The sequence below is a fragment of the Homo sapiens genome, chromosome 2, assembly GCF_000001405.40.
Source record: "Homo sapiens chromosome 2, GRCh38.p14 Primary Assembly".
Lineage (NCBI taxonomy): Eukaryota > Metazoa > Chordata > Mammalia > Primates > Hominidae > Homo > Homo sapiens.
In genome coordinates, this window is record NC_000002.12 from 58,617,454 (window position 1) to 58,634,628 (window position 17,175).

Genomic DNA, 17,175 nt, shown 5'->3' on the forward strand with positions numbered 1-17,175 from the left:
GGTTTTTAAACCACCTAGTTTTCCATAACATAAAAATAAATCCTTTCTGCTCACTCCAAAAGCAAAAGTCCTGTCAGGATTTACTGTTAGAAAATGTTAACTTTCCTTATTGCTTACATATTTCTGTAAATTCAATACATCTGAAATGTGTTCAACTCTTTGATATATAGCAAATCAGTGTTCTTTATGTTACAGGAGATTTTAAAACTGACTTTTCAACTTTTAAAAGTTATTGATTTTGACACAAATCTATGAAAAATACATCTTCTTGGTTAGCACCACTGCAACAAAAAGAAAAAAAAAAATCCGAACACACACACACACACACACACACACACACACACACACACACACACAACAAAAGCCTGAAGTGAGGTCATCCTCACAGAGATCCGGAGAGGGGAGTGCTTAGAGCAGGCACCGGGAGCAGTGTGATTAAAAAGCAATTTATACCACATTGTCTTCACACTAATAACCACTCCATGTAAAAGCTCCCCAGGAATAAATGTGCTGTGGTAAAAAGTTGAGTCAATTTCACATTTTCAAAACCCAAACACTGTGTGTGTGTGTGTGTGTATACATATATATAATACATATGTATGTGTATATATATATATATATATATATATATATATATATATATACAGATATATGTGTATATATATATATAGAACATTTAGTTAATCCTGTGCAAAAGGAATGGTCTGCTCTGGTGGAGAGCTTTTGAGTTGGGAAGATTGAGTTTTGCCTCATTGATCTTGGTCATTATTTAATTATCTGTACTTCATTTGCCCTTTATGAAAATATGGAGGAATTATTCTTTCCTACTTGTAATGTTGACCAATGATTTAGTACCATCTCAGAAAATATCTTTAATATTTTCTGAAAATGCTAGTAAATGTACAGTATTGTTATACCATGAATGTAAAAAGTTATAATAAACCACTTAATATTAGCTTTCAGAGAAGAAAATCAAAAAGATCATTTGACTCAAATGTTACCCTCACGTTAAAATGTCACCCTTTGTCTGAACCAAAAATAAAAGTCAATGTGGAATCATCCTAAGGTTGTCAGACAGGGTGAGAAGAACATACTAATATTGCCTCATTTTCTTGTTGAGTAGAACCCCTTTGGATAGTTCTTGAAACTCTTTGTGTCTCAGGTTCCTGTTCTGTAAAATTCAGGCACTGGGCAGATGATATTGAAGACCCAGTTTTAGAATTATATCTGTAGCATGAATTAAATTTGTTCCTATTTGAGAATATTTCACTTGACAGTTATTTAGATTATAAAAGCTGAATAATAATTTGAAGGAGACATAATGCAAGAAACTTGATTTAATTAAGAACTAGCTTTTAAACATGTGTGTGGGGGGCAGGGGAGAGGGTCAATAACATATAACAACAAAGAGGTAGAACATCTAAAACTGCCACATATTTCTGGTGGGAACTGTAAAACTCACTTTGAAAAGCTGATGGGAATGTCAAATTTTTTTAAAGATAACCACTTATGATTAAAAATGTTAGTAACTTGATTTAATTGAAACTAGCCTTAAAAAGAAAAAAAAAAAAGAGGGTGGTTACGAGTTCTCAACACTAATTCTTGGTGAAGATGTGATACAATTGATACTCTCATACACATTGTTTGGAGTTTCTTGTAAAGTTAAACACACACCTACCCCTTGTCCAGCAATGCCACTACTACCAAAGAGAAATGAAAACTTACATCCACAATAAAAAACTTGTATAAGAAAGTTGATATTGGTTTATTCATAATAGTCCCAAGCTGGAAGCAATTCAAATGCCCATGAATAGAATAAGTAATTTTTGTATTTTCATACAATGAAATAAATATTAACCAGCAATATAAAGGAAAAAAATACTGCAACACCATGGAGAAAACTCAAAAATGTTATGTTAAACGAATGAAACCTGATGTGATAACATATGGTTCATTACATGAAGTTGAAGAACAGGCAAACTATGAGCAAAAGTTGATTAACTGGAAGGAAACGTGAGAGAACATTCTTGAGGGACTGAAATAATCCATACCTTGACTGGGGTGGTTGTTATACATTTGGAATGAATGGAATATACATTTGTCAAAATAAATCAAATTATACTCTTAAGACATTTGCATTTAATGTAAAATGTAAATTTTACCCCGATTTTTAAAAAAGGGTAAGGGGATGCTTTTATGGTAAGTGGAAAAGTTGACAATGGGAGGATTAAGGGCCTACCTTATAGGAAACAATAGGATGTTAGTGGTTTATGGGCAGGAAAGTAGATATTATTTACAGCAATGATTGGAAGAGATGAATTCACTTAGTCCTGAAGTGGAAAGTGTTCTAAGTTTAGACAAAGCAGTAGTCTATAGTTATTTCACTCTGCCCTTTATGCTGATCGAAAATAAGCAAAAAAAGGAAAAAAAAAATCTCCTTCCTCATTCTTCATGATTTTAGAACTTCAGATAATACAAGTACCTCCTCAAATTTGGAAAATAGTAGACATTTCCTATTCTGAAAGACTGGGTTTGTTCTACATGGTTACTATAAAGGCCCCCAAGTAGTGTAATACATTGTTTCTACACCTAAAACTCAAGAAATACTTGAGGAATTTGCTAGACAAAATACAGTATGAAGGTTTGCGTGCTAGGGAGCAGCTAGTAAGTGAGATACGTTGAAAACTCAGGCAACCAGAAGGACTAATCACTCACCCATTCCTCATGCATTTTTGAGAGTAGATGCAGAACCCTGGGTTTTAACTGTACGTGAATCCAGTCTCCCTGAAAGTGAATGCTGATTAGCATAGCTCTGCTAGGTTGCCTGTTTTCTGAGCACCTAGGCTGCTGTTGATCTGTATGTTCCATAATTATTAGGGTGGGACGTGGGTGGGGAAGTTCATTTGTAACTGATGGGTCAGCTCTAACATAAACAGATTTTGACTCCAGGTTATGATTCATAATACATATTTCTTCCATTAATAATCCGTTCAGTAACCTGAATCAGATTTCATATAATGTAACTTCACAAAACACAGAATCACTTTGTATTGTCTTGATTAATCTGCTATAAATCAGGCTGAAAACTCCATTTTGATATAGATTAAAAAATACCTTCCACAAGTCAACTTCAGACTAGTAAATTAATTGTTTATGTGAAGAGGAACCTTGATGATTTATAGAGTTCCTTTGAAACACAGCATAGTATTTTAAAGGAATTACTTAAAAGAAAAAAAAAAACTTCTGTAGAAAGAAAGATCTCATATGACTTCCTGGTAATATGTTACTTTTTCATTAAATTTGCTTTTTATTTGGAATAGCTTTTGGCCCACTTGCTACAAGATTACATTTTAAACTGCCAACAAAATTATGTTTATCTCACAAAAGAAGTCTAACCAGTTTATTAAAAAGGCATCTAAACATAAAATCCCTGTCTTCAAATATTTGAAGGCCTGTCATGTAGAAGAGGGAGATTGTTCAAGTAGGAAAAACCTTCTGAATGGTAGAAGAGGAGCAGATTTCCAGGGAAATGAAATAATTTGTAATATTTACAGAATGGAAGTAGTTGAGTCTCCTGAAATAGATGTTTATCATCCAAGGTTTCAAGCCTCTGAGGTTAAATACCTCTCAGAAATGTTGCATAGAGAGTTCTGCGGTATGTGAGAAACTGAACCACAGACCTCTACATTCCCAGCAACTCTAAGATTATACTTACATGGTAGACATGAGTATTTTTTAAATGATACTTTCTTTAGAAACAGGTATCTATAGAAAAGTGATTTCTAGCATTGCCATAGAATGACCACACCACTTTTAGAAGAAAGAGTTGTTTATTATACTCCTTTCCTAAAACATGAAATTTTGGACAAATTAGGTAATTCAGCCCTTCTTCAGTTGCTCCAGGAACTTAGAATTTATCTCATAACCTACCCCAATTTTGTAAAATTCTAATTATTAATGATTTCTTCTTTTACTAGGCCTGCAGTTCTTCAGATGTCATTCAGGTACCCTGGGAGTCCCTGAAACCCTTTTAGGGTGTCCTCATGGTCAAAACTATTTTCATAATAGTACTAAGATATTATTTGCCTTTTTCCTTTTTTTTTTTTTTGAGATGGAGTCTCCTTCTGTTGCCCAGGCTGGAGTGCAGTGGTGTGATCTCGGCTCACTGCAAGCTCTGCCTCCTGGGTTCACATCATTCTCCTGCCTCAGCCTCCCGAAAAGCTGGGACTACAGGCACCTGCCACACACCCAGCTAATTTTTTGTATTTTTGGTAGAGACGGGGTTTCACTGTATTTGCGTTTTTCATTCTTATTCTCCACAAGAGTACAATGGAGTTTTCTAGCAGCTGCGCGATATACAACATCATCACAGACTATATATAGAAGCAGATACGAGAATACCACTGTCTTCTAATAAAGCAGACATTAAAGAGCCATCAAAAAAATGATAAACAATGCCACTTTTGTCTTGGAAAATAGCTGCTTTTCATTAAAAGTGTTATTTATGTTTACATATGATGGGTTATTTATTAGTTTAGATAAGTAATAAATATTTTTTAAAATTTCTGTTTTAATTTTTTTTTTAATATCCAAAGAGATTTATTCTGAGCTAAATATAAGTGACTATGGCCTATGACACAACCCCAGGAGATCCTGAGAACATGTGCCCAAGGTGGTCGGGCTATAGCTTGGTTTTATACATTTTAGGGAGACATAAAACATCAATCAATACTGCTAAGATATACATTGGTTTGGTCTGGAAATGCATGACAACTCAAAGTGGGGTGCTTCCAGTTCATAGGTGGATTTAAAGATTTTCTGATTGGCAATTGGTGGAGAGTTTATCTAAAGACCTGGAATCAATAGAAGGGAGTGTCTGGGTTAAGATAAAGAGTTGTGGAGACCAAGGTTCCTATTATGCAGATGAAGCCTACAGGTAGCAGTCTTAAGAGAGAATTAATTTCAAATATGGTAAATATCAATAGATACAGCCCACATAAATTATAGTGAGGGTAAAAGAGTTATGAAATCAAAACATTTGATAACTGCTCTGGCAAGTCAGAGACTCCTCCCCAGCTGGGCACGGTGGCTCACACCTGTACTCCCAGCACTTTGGAAGGCCGAGGTGGGTGGATCACCCGAGGTCAGGAGTTCAAGACCAGCCTAGGCAACATGGTGAAACCCTGTCTCTACTAAAAATACAAAAATTAGTCAGGCGTGCTGGCGGGTGCCTGTGATCCTACTACTAGTGAGGCTGGGCCTGAGAATCACTTGAACCCAGGAAGCAGAGGTTGCAGTGAGCCAAGATCACGCCATTGCATTTCAGCCTGGGTGAAATGAGACTCTGAAAAAAAAAAAAAAAAAAAAAACCACTCCTCCCTTCTTATTACTTTTACCCATGAAACCTAGATCTACCTAAGATATATTCAATATCTATGTGATCTGAGAATCTTGCAAATACTTGAAGACAGTGTAATAATTTCCCTCTCTTAGTCTCCCCTCTGCAGATAAAGGGCCATCAGTTCCTTCAGGCACTAGACACAACATATGATTTTGAGTTCCCACACTATTTGATAGGTCTTTTTTGAATGTATTTCAGTGAGTGATGTATCATCTTAAATATAGCACTCAGAATAGAGGAAAAATATTGTAGGTCATACATTTAATGGTAGAGTGGGACCATTATCTTTATTATTGGAATTTTGCTGCTATTCATACTGCTAAAGATTGAATTAACATTTCTGGCAGCTATTATCATGATTTTTTGATACACATGGAGCTTACAGCTAACTAAGATTCCCAAATGCTTTTCAGTTAAGCTACTACTTCTAGGCTACATTTTCCAGATCTTCAGTTTTTGTAATAATTCTCTTTTTATCCAACTGAAGATTTTACTCCTTATTAAATTGAATCTTATTTCATTTACCCTAATTATTACAACATGCTGGGATATTTTACAGATTGCCATTGTGCATCTGAAATGTTAGTCTTCTCAGCTTTGAGGCATCCAGGTATTCAATAAACATGACATTTACATGTGAATCAAATCATTGATGCTGGACAAGGCCAAGGGAGGAGTTCTGTGGTCCATCACCATAAAATTTTTTCATGAGGAAGGTATTTTCCCTCTTCAGATACGTCATCACTTTCCTTAGAGGTGGTCTCTTTGTGTCCTGACTGAACTCACTCCTATGAGCCATAAAATTATTGTTGACCTTCAAGAACTACTAACTATCCTGTCACTTATCTTCACACGTACCCTGAGCTTCACATCGCCCTCCATATGTTTACCTTTTTATATGAGAACAGTGCTATTTGAAAGAAAGCAGGACCGAGTTGAATGGCTTTACTTTCTGTTATCAGTTATTTTATACCTTCTTCCCCATGTAGACCTTCTACCACTTTTATCTTTCTCTTACTCTAGACATAGCTTTAGAAGACTTTGTGTTGTCATTAGGGTTTCTTACAAACCTCCTCTTATTTTGGACTTTCTACTCAAGTGACCCTGTTCCTTCTTGCTAGGGTACTCTCTTCACCATTGGTTAATTATTCCTCCTGGAACCTACTGTACAAACCTTTACAGAAACTGCAGTTGTCAGGTTGTTCCCTGGGCTGCCACATGACCTGTTTGGATACTTGTCTCTTCTGTAATGTCTCCCTCTTGTCATGAGCAGCTTTTGTTTTCATCAGTTTCTGACCTGGGTTCTTGCTTATCTTTCTACGTAACACTTTGAGTCCACCTTTTCTAAAGTTTGTGGTATCCATATGGTTATGTTTAGCTTTTTCTTATTTTGGCTTCTTGAACTCTGAAATAACACAATCATTTAAAAATATCTAATGTTCAAAATCTTGTAAGTTTAAAATTTTTTATGACATTGAAATACCATATTTATTTTCAATTTTTTTCTCTTACTACCAAAAATACATTTATCTTGTCTCTGGGATAGAATACAAATGTTTTGTTTTCATGGAATGTTTGATGTTAGTACAACTTGCCATGTGGTAAATGGCCTATATGTATTTGTTGACACAATGCTAACTCCTTCAAATATACTTTATTTCAATTAGAAAGTATTTTATTAGTGTATCAATGTTCCTAGCTTTTACCTACCATGGTAAAGTAAAAGTAAGAAAAATATGATTAGGTCTTTGTTTTCAAATAATTTATTGAGTACCTGTGAAGAAAAGGCAGAGTAGCAAAACAAAAAAATAAACAATAAAATAATCAGGTGACAATATATCAATTTGTTTAGCTGTTCATTTAGCAATGACTTATTGAGCAACTACTATATACCAGTTTCTTCAGTAGGCACCTGGGACACAAATATGTAAGGTATAGGCCATGTCATTAAGGAATACCAATCCAGTGGGGGTGGGGAATTCATATGATAATAATACAGTATGGTGAAAGCTAAGAGACATATACACATGAGAGACTATGGGAACCCAAGGAAAAGGAAACCAATGAGGCTCATACCCCTCAACTCCACAGAAGAGGAGCAGGAATTTTAATCATGGATTGGTTTTTACCAGGCGGCAAGATGAAAAGCAGATTTCTTCAGAGAAGGGGACAAAGCGTGCAAAGGGGAAAGCAAAAGAAACTGGGCCATTTGACATGGTTGAGTGTTTGCTTTGTATATTAGGGGCAAGGGCTGGAGGTGAGTGATACAAAGCAGTAATTTGAAATTTAGTATTTAAGCCAGTAGTTTTCTAATTGTGCTCTCTGAAATCCCTTACGAGCAATGGGATGGGAGCTGTGAAGATAAGAAAGCTGATCTGCAGGGCTCTGGGCTTCTCACCCCCGTTTTCACCAGGACAGCTTCTCCTTTGTTTGTTTTATCTACTGGACTTTTTAGTCAGGTTTTCTTGAAATAATTGTTTAAAGCTTTTTTGAAAAATGAAGCCCATTGCAATGGACAAAGGGGATGTCCTGATAAACAGGGGGCCAATATGTTCATCCCAGGGGTGGTGTGAAGGATAGGTGGAAAACAGGAAGACTAGTTAGATTGCCATTGTATTTACATGTTCATTCTTTCAAAATGTATTTATTGCACACCGACCCCAAGCCAGGTTGGAGTCGGGAAGTACAGAGAAAGTTTTGTGTCTGACAACTTGATCACAGAAGCAAGATTTGAAGTGGTTCTTGAATGATGTGTAGAAGATAAGGAAGGCTGAGCCTTTTACTTGCTTTTTTTCTCCTTGTAATTTTTCATTTTGATGAAACTTCAAACTTACAAAAAAGTTGCATTTTATCTACTTTAAAAATAACTAAATCTTGTAGAACATATAGAAACATAGAAATGTTCATAGTTATATTTATTTTTCTATATTATTATAACATATATAACATATAATGTTTACATTTCTTTAAATATATTTCTATTTTATAATGATGGAGATAAAAATAACCACTATATTGAATTCTCAAGTAATCCATGCTGTGACTTTGAGAGCCTGAATTCTCAAGGATAAAGTGACACTCTTGTTTTACTAAGATAAACATAGCTCCCTCTCAGTCACTGTACCCTACCATTAACGCTAATGTGAAGGCCTAACCTGGGGCTGTGCCCTGCTTCGTGGTCCAGGTGGACAGGGAGCCCAGATGAACATTCACGTGCTTCTAGAACATGCATAGTCTGCTCTGTTGGGCTTTGCATTGGGTTATAAGATAGAGCACATCTTGAAGAGTGTCACACCATTACACTTTTGAAAGAATTGAAAGAAAACCTGTAAGGCCAATTGAACAACTGGAGTTCTATCTTGAGGATGGAGTTAGTTGGGAATCCTTTGTGGTTTACTATGTGCCAGGCTATACGTTCATCCAATTTCTCATATTATTTCATTTAATTCTGAGAGCAAAAGGATAAAGGAAGAGCTATTATTATTCTCATTTCATAAGTGACAAATTTTCTATGCTGCAGCTCAGAGTTGCTCCGTAACTTTCCAAAGACCATAGATAGTATGTGGCAGAGCTGAGATTCAACTTGGGTGTGGTTGGGTTGTACTCCAAAGACCAAGCTCTTACGTAGTATTGTTCCCTGATGTTTCAAACCCATGCTCAGAACAGAGATTTGGTCAGAAACTCTTCTGGGAGAGGCCTGTGGGTACTTGACAGCTTCAGGCAGTCATCTCAGCTCCCGGCTCTCACAGCCCTGTCCCCTGGGCCTGCCTGTGATCACTGCTCTGTTGGCGAGGACTTGTGTGCTGCTGATAGAGATGGGAAAGTCGGTGGCTTAAAAATTTAGAAGGTTTTCTCTCGTGTGAAGGAAAGCTTTAAGAGGGTAGTGCAGGGTAGGCAGGCACTTCCTAGGCTCATCTGGAGCCTGAGTTCCTTTTATGTGTATGTTCTACCATCTTTAATACCAGTCGGTAGAAAGGTGGCGACTGAATCTCCAGCTGTTGTATACAGGCAGGAAGAAAGAAAGGGGGAAGCAGGACAGTCTCCAAGTGTCTGTCAAATCATTAAAAGGCCTTCTTTGTTAACTTCTCATTGGCCAAAACAAAGTCACATAATCACATCTAGATGCAGAGTAGCCTGGGAAATAAAAGCTTTTAGCTGAGCACATTGCCTCTTTAAACAAATGCAAGGTTATTACGACAACAGAAGGGGAGAATGAATATTGGGTGGGCAACAAATCCTCCCTGACACATTTTCCTAACCTGAGGTTTACCCAGTTTATTTCTAGGTTCAAAGACTGTCCACTGAAACCTGTGCTGGGTCTCTACTCTGGCTTAAGTGCTGAATGCTGGCTTAGTGAATTATGACATATTTTTATAGTGTTGTTTGTGAAATTGACAACCATTGTCTTTAATTCTGGATCTAAAGAGTTGGAACCTACTCAGGAATATTGTTTTCTAAATCTTCTTTGAATCTTTGAACACATGGCTATCATGGGACAGAGACAGCACTTGTCTCCATTACACCAGTTAAGGATCTGAGGCCAAAGAGATCAACAACCTTTATTCAGAGTTGATGCAAGGTACTACTATCTCTGACATTCAGACTAGTGACGTGTGTGTGTGTGTGTGTGTGCGCGCGCGCGCATCTTTTTTTATGCTTTCAAGTCATTCAGTCAAAAGCAGGGCTTCTCAAGGGTAGAGGAAGGACCAGGACTTTCATGTATGTTGAGAAAAATTATCAAGAAAAAAAAAAGGAAGCACCCTAAAACAGGACCCCTAAATTGTCATGTTTCCAATGTTACATCTGAAATGTACATTTTAAATGTTTACAAGTAAACATTAACGTTTTACAGTCACTTCTTTTATCCTCAACACATACACACCCAACCCCCTTAACAATCCCGTAATACTGTATCATTGTGCAAAATAGAATCTTAGCATTTGTTTAGAACACTAAATATTAAGGTCAATGTATAAGGATAGGGTAAAGTATGCTGCAGCAACAAACAAACCCCAATGTCAGTGGTTTTATACAAACAAAATTTATTATTTTTCTTCATGAAAAGTCCACTGCAGATCTAGATGATTCTCCAGGGGTTACCAGTGATTCAGCAATCTAGGCTAATTAAGGCTTCATTTTTCCACCTTTTTGTCCCTGCCAGGAACACGCAGCCTCTGTCTACTATGCAAGAGTGGAAGGCTACCGGAGAGTCCAGAAGATATGTTAGCTCACTTTTCATCATTTAGATCAAGTCAAAAAGCCTTGTTTGTAACTGCAACAGAGTTGAGAAGTGAATTTTCTGAGTTTCCAGAAGAAGAAAAGAATATGAACACTATCTTTACCATTGCCCACTAATGGGAGAAATTTTTAAAGTGGCATAATGAATATCATCTTTCAATCCTGCCAATGTTTCTCTATGACTGCATGTATGATGTTGGCTGAAATTTGAGGTCCTTTGTGAATGTGAGGTCAAGGCCAACTGACCCTATATTCCTCTTGCCAAATCTGTCCCTGGTAGACCAAGATAAAGTGCAGGAGGTCCAGGATTACCATCAAATAGCAACAACCAACATGCCTTGTATATGTGAGTTTCTGAGACTGCTATGTCAGTTGTCAAGCACACACTTAATATGTAATTTTGAATAAATGTTGGATGGAGGAGTGACTTATTCTTGGAAGCCTCCTTCAAGTTCAGACACGTAATTGAATATTATTTCTAGTGACTTATCTTGGACATCTAGTCTGCATTCATCTTTTAACAGTGTCCAATTGAAATTTCATATACATTTTGAAAGCAGAAAGTCCGTCTGCACTCTTTGGGATGAATCTTTGTTCAGGATACTTCCAAGCAGGGTCCCTAACAAAAGAGAAGGATAAAAACCCTCACCTAAGAAGAGGGTTGGGGTTGCTTGTGAGTTACTGTGATCATAGAGGGTATCTAACAATTTCCTAGTCCCCTTCCTCAACAGCTGTGGTCGTCTGATAGTAGGTCTTTCTATGCCTTTTTGTGTTTCTCTTAAAAAGTTGAAATTTTAAGGTGCTACATTTAACCATTTGCCCCCATGCAGTCTGATTTACATACCATAAATTTGAAGAGATGTCTATCTTTAGATATTAAGTTATAATTTTGAAAACAAAAAAGTGCCATCCATGGCATTTCACTGGGTAGTAGGTTGTATATTTTTATATCACAGATGGAAAAAGAAAACTAAGACGAAATTTTGATCTAGAGCACCAAAGGAATTGCCATTTGAGCATGTGTGTAGATTTCTTAACTAGCAGTCTAGGTATACTTCCCATATTGATTCTATTTCATTGAGCATCATTTGGGGAAGATGCATTCGTTGGCTGTCATAGATAATGGATAGAAATTGTGGTCATATACATTGAATTGTACCTGTATTTTCACCTCATTAAGACTGGTGAACACCTAACCAGAATAATTAAAGAAGGTGCATGTATGTCTGTGTGTATGTGATGGGTTTGGGAAGCAGGGAGGGGAAAGGACACCACTGAATACCCTCTGCCACAAGTAGTGAGAACTGATAAGAAAGATGGTTAATGAATTACTAGTGAGTAGAAAGAAAAATTTTTCTTGCTGTAGCTATCAAGTCCAGCTTTTCATTTTTTGTTTTTGTGAATGAGGAAATGATCTCGTTATTACTTTATTGATCTAGGCCAAGTGCTTAGATACATTTCTCTCAATTTTTGAAGTAAAAGTTTCTTTGTTCTCAATTTGAAAAGGATTTTCTTTTCTCTTCTTTTTTTGGTCAACCCCTCTGTGTTTCTGCAATATCGGGCCACCAATATGACTCCAATAGCACAGTCACACATGTGATGAGATGAGGGACAGACATGGGAGCAGATTGTCCCAGGCGGCTACTTTTCTGTTGACTTGGACGCAATCCTAGGGGAAAAATCATTTTAAATAAGTTACTCTCTTTAAATCTTAAAAGTTTCTGGGACAGCAGGCAGGGACTTGGCAATGTGCTGGTAATGTGTTTTAGCCAGGATGGTCTTCAGAAATATGCTTGAGAATTATTAACTTGTCTGGGCATAATTTAGCAGTATTTACTGTCTGTTCCTCTGAGTCATTGCACAATCTGTACTGTCCCTGGGATATTTAGACCTTCCTGGCCTGGCCTATTTTGTCATGTAATAATATATAAAAATACAACCATTCTTAAAGTGCAAGCATGTACCCTGTCGGAGTGTGACCTCTTTAAGTTAATTTTTATGCATCAAAGTATTTGATATTTACCCAAACATATTCAGATCTCTCACGCGGTGTTTTTTGTTTTTTTAATTTTTAATTTTTTTTTTTTTTTAATGACAAAAACATCATTGATCTGACAGCTTGCTCTCCAGGGAAGAGATATTGTGGATAGCTTTAAAGCCTAGATGCTTCCAAAGTCCTTTTCTTCCACCAGTCCCAAAGCAGTATGTCTGGAGTCGGGGCAATGCAGCTTGCCACCATGGCAGCTGGGAGTTTGACAGTGTTATGAAGAATTGCAACTGTTGATCAGTGAATTGTTACAGTGTTGATGACAGCGTTGCAAATTAATTCTGAAATTAACTGAGGGGACATGAAGAGGTCCCACTGCTTATCTGAGAGAAGGAGGGCAGGGTAAAAATTATTGGTGGAGATGAGTGAATATGAGAATCACATTCAGAAAATTGTGTCTACCAATCAAGGTGGTGGGTACAATTTCCATAGTCTTTGGGAGAGGCATCTGCCTAAGGAAAATTGGTGGCTGAAAGATACATGAAAAAGAGTTATGACTGAATGTTTTCAGTACTTTGTTATTTTAGAAATGATTTATTGAACTCATTGCATCTTAGAGAGGAAGAATTAATAGGTTGCTATTTTCCTTCTGTTTTAAAATTAACCCAATATTTTACAAAATTGAAACAATTTTTCAGAGTTTCTCTTCTTCTTCCTGCCTCCCTCCACAGTTTTGTAGCAGGATTTTATTTATTTTTTATTTTTATTTTTCCAAATGAAAGTACCTTCTAGTTCTGAGTCTTATTTTGGCTACGTGTACAGAATGCTGTGTACCTGAAACCAGAGGTATCCTTCACCAGTTTGTAGCAGCCATTAACATATGCTTTTCCCAAGGTTTCGTGTACTTATTCTGAGCATGTGCCTTTTACAATGCAGAACACAAGAGACTTGTTTTGTAAGATTAATGAAGGTCACCAAAATTCTCAAAAGTATTCTGATAATTAAGGCTTTGTTTATCAAAAACAAGTTATATTAAGAGCAAAAAGATTCATGGTAATTATTCATAATCTTAACAATTCAAGTGTAGCCACCTCATTTGTGCATTTAATTCTTCTTGTTAATGTTTTGCATAAATCTGCATAATTACTTGAGTTGCCTGTTGTAATTTTGACAGCTACTCAGTTCATGTGCACTAAAGTATATCAAAAGCTTGATGTGCTGAATATTTATAATTTTACGTATGTTCTTGGGATAATATTTTTTCAACAATATTTTTAGTTTTTATAAAATTGACACGGTATACTTGGAAACTTTGCCAAATGTAGCTCTCTAAAATAGAGAGCTCATCAGGGAAATAAACTAACATTTAAAGGTATAGAACCCACCCCGGGCAAATTTTTTCAGTAATCCAGATGAATTATGCCTGTCATGAACTATTTTTCTCTCTCAATCTTTCTCCCTTCCTTTTCCTTTATCTTTTTTTCTCTCTGTGTCTCTTGCTCTCTCTCACACACACATACACACTAACACATATATGATGCAAAAACTTCAGATTATGTTTTTATAGAAGTCTTTTAAATTTAGGACACAAAGTTTTTCTTTTCTTGTTTTAAATAATTATTTTGTAAGGATGGGAATAGCCAGATGCTTCCCTTCTGGATATTAGTAATAGTGTAATAAGTAAATAACCCCAGGAAAAACTCTAACCAAGTCTCATTAAACTTGCATTGTCACCTGAATTCTATAGTGGAAGGGAGAAGGCTATAATTCATTTTGTTATGTAGTTTTTAAAATGAAGGGAAGTGTTTTACTCAATGGGAGTTTCTTAGCAGGCGGATTTTTTAGGTAATATAAGATGTCCAAGAAATAGCCATTCCTAATCAATGTAGTCACAGGGAAATAATAGTAGTAAGAGAAACCCATCACTAAAGTGATATTATGCGCCATCCAAACTCCTGTTGAGGAAAAGATTTTATGGATTGAGAAAATTCTAACCTCTTCCAGATAAATGGAAGCAGGCATGATTTTAGAGTGATAGCAGATGTTGCCATTGTTTGTAAATATCCCTGTGCTTGTGAAATATTGAGACATTTCAAGCCTAGATCTTAGAGGAAATTTTATTGGTTTTTCTCAGATATACTTGGGGGAGTTTCATCAGTTAGTTGAAGTTGTGTAATTGATTGTGCTGATATCAGAATTGAAATAAGATATTAAAACAAGGTAAGCTTAAAATTCTTGTCACTGACATTCTTACAGATGATTTTGAAGTATCTCTGAGGTTCTGTTTTACATGGAAACACTATGGTTTATTCAGATTGCCCAAATTTGGTTAGTTCATTGGTTTAATAAACATTGAAGGTGCCGATACTTTCATGAAACATTCTGTAGCATCTGCATACACCATTAAATAGGAGATGACATTCCTTGGATGTCGATTTAATAATTTAATATTGTTTATAAATAATGTTATTCTAAGAGTAGTACAATATCCATTTGCTACACATAGGCATTTTGACCGTAACACTTTTTTCAAAAGTGATGTAAATGTATTAGCTTTCCACTATTAAACAGCCTGCCAGTATTTCTGAGCTATTATAATCACTTAAATAAGGAAGCCAATGAATGAAAATGATTACCTAAGAGAACAAAGATCTTATTTATTTATTAGAACTAAGCTCCTATGAGATGGCAGAAGCTCCTCTCATGAAAACAAATTGCATCAGTAATCCATTAACAGAGTTTTTTGTTTTTTGTTACTGTTTTTTTCCTAAGACTTCTCAATGCATTGAAAACATCATTCGATTTTAGACTACTGGGAGTTGCTAAATACACTTATTACTATGGGATTATTTTGCAAAAAAAAAAATGAATAAAAAGGGGAATTTTTAAGGTGACCAAATATCAGATAGATTTATCTAGAGTTTTATATATAGGTATTTCTGTGTATTTGTGACCTGTATGTCTCCATGGATGCAACTTGTGCATACAGACACACACATATGCACATTCACACACACACACACCTGAGATTGATTAAAGTTAAAAGTGCAGTCATGTGCTTCTATTTTTCACCTTAATGAGCACTCAGAAGTAAGTGAAAAATTAAAAGGTGGTTGGTTATATTTAGCTGTAGCTGTACACTCAATATATGTTGCACACAGTAGGAAATGAACATAAAATCAGTGAAAAAGCCTCAACATTGCAGCTATATGCATTAATTAAAAGAAGTTTGTTAAACTAAATTTGAAAAAAAACTTCTTTAATTGTGTTTACCCAAAAGGCTTTTCTTCCTAATTTAAATAGCATAAACATCTGGACTAAAGCAATATTAGAATCATGGCAGTAGTCAAGCAAATCTTGTGGAAAATAATGAAATTAGATCCCTGGTGTTGTGACAGAGTAAGGGCAGGATACATCAGTTCGATGTTAATAAAATTTCCATGAATGACTGAATACAATTAAGAAATTGTCAGTTGCGGCAATGAACTTTTGTAGCTCATAGATGTTTGCATCATTTGATTATGCTGGCAATTTAAAATTGTTTGTTAGTGTCTGTGTTGGGATATTAATTATGACCTTTATTACAGCCCACAATTAAACTAGTCATATAGCAACAAGCAAACTGTGTTGTGATACTGAAGGATCTGAACTATTTACAAAGAGGTCTGTTGGGTTTGGAGCCACCAGTGCCCTTTCAAACTGGAAATGATTTTAAAAGATGCAGTAGTTGAGAAACCACAACAACTGGGATGAGTAAGCCCTTTAATACAAGGAGTTCTTTTTAATAGTGTTTTAACAGTTTTAATTGCTAACAACATCTGTAAAACTGGAAAAAAAGCATTTTTAACTGTGACTCTAAGATAAGCTTTCCCTGTTCAGGAAGAGAAAACAATTATTCATTGGTTAATTAGCTGTAAACAACTTTTAAAAGATACATTCATTATATATGTAATTATTTGAAAAAAGGCTTCAATGTTATTTGTACTAATGCATAATTATTAGTGCTTGCTAAAAGGATTAACAGGACTTAGATGACCACTATTATTGCGGAGTAGCACAGTGAAGAGATGAGATTAGCATCAGGAAGGAATGTGTTATGATGAATCAGATAGGAATTTTTTGTTTTTGCTTTGTTTTTTCTTGTTTGCACACGGTAGTAGAGGTCACGTGGAGTCACATTATATTTTCAGAAACAATGTGTTTCAACCTCAAGTAATAGTACTTTTCATCTTTGTTTTTATGACACATAAAATATCTCACTAGACAAGTTTTTCTCTCCTAGAGTTATATTGTTGCTATGATTTATTATCTGTTCATTTATTTGTTTATTTACTTATATTTACCTTTGAGAGCTTTAAAAAAATCAACACTAAGTTATATTTTAAACTTGTGGTTATTAAAAACAAACTAGTTACCAGTAAAACCATGAGCTAGTTAGTCTCACTTGTGCTTATTGCAGCCACTGTATTATATTTATTAGATCATGTACCATGTTCCCTATAGCATGTTTGCTGTTTCACAACTATTGGTAGAAATTAAGTACAATAAA

General features: G+C 35.7%; 1 long non-coding RNA gene across 1 annotated transcript in view, besides 1 other annotated feature; it reads left to right on the forward strand.

The window, feature by feature from the left end:
* LINC01122 (long intergenic non-protein coding RNA 1122) overlaps positions 1 to 17,175 on the forward strand; it is a 543,014-nt gene that overhangs the window by 96,701 nt on the left and 429,138 nt on the right. The gene's annotated exons all lie outside the window — the stretch shown is intronic.
* Positions 15,409 to 17,086: an enhancer, noted in NCBI's record as "VISTA enhancer hs1152". NCBI's record gives its function as "enhancer in: limb[4/5]" and the evidence as "EXISTENCE:transgenic organism evidence [ECO:0001131][PMID:17130149]".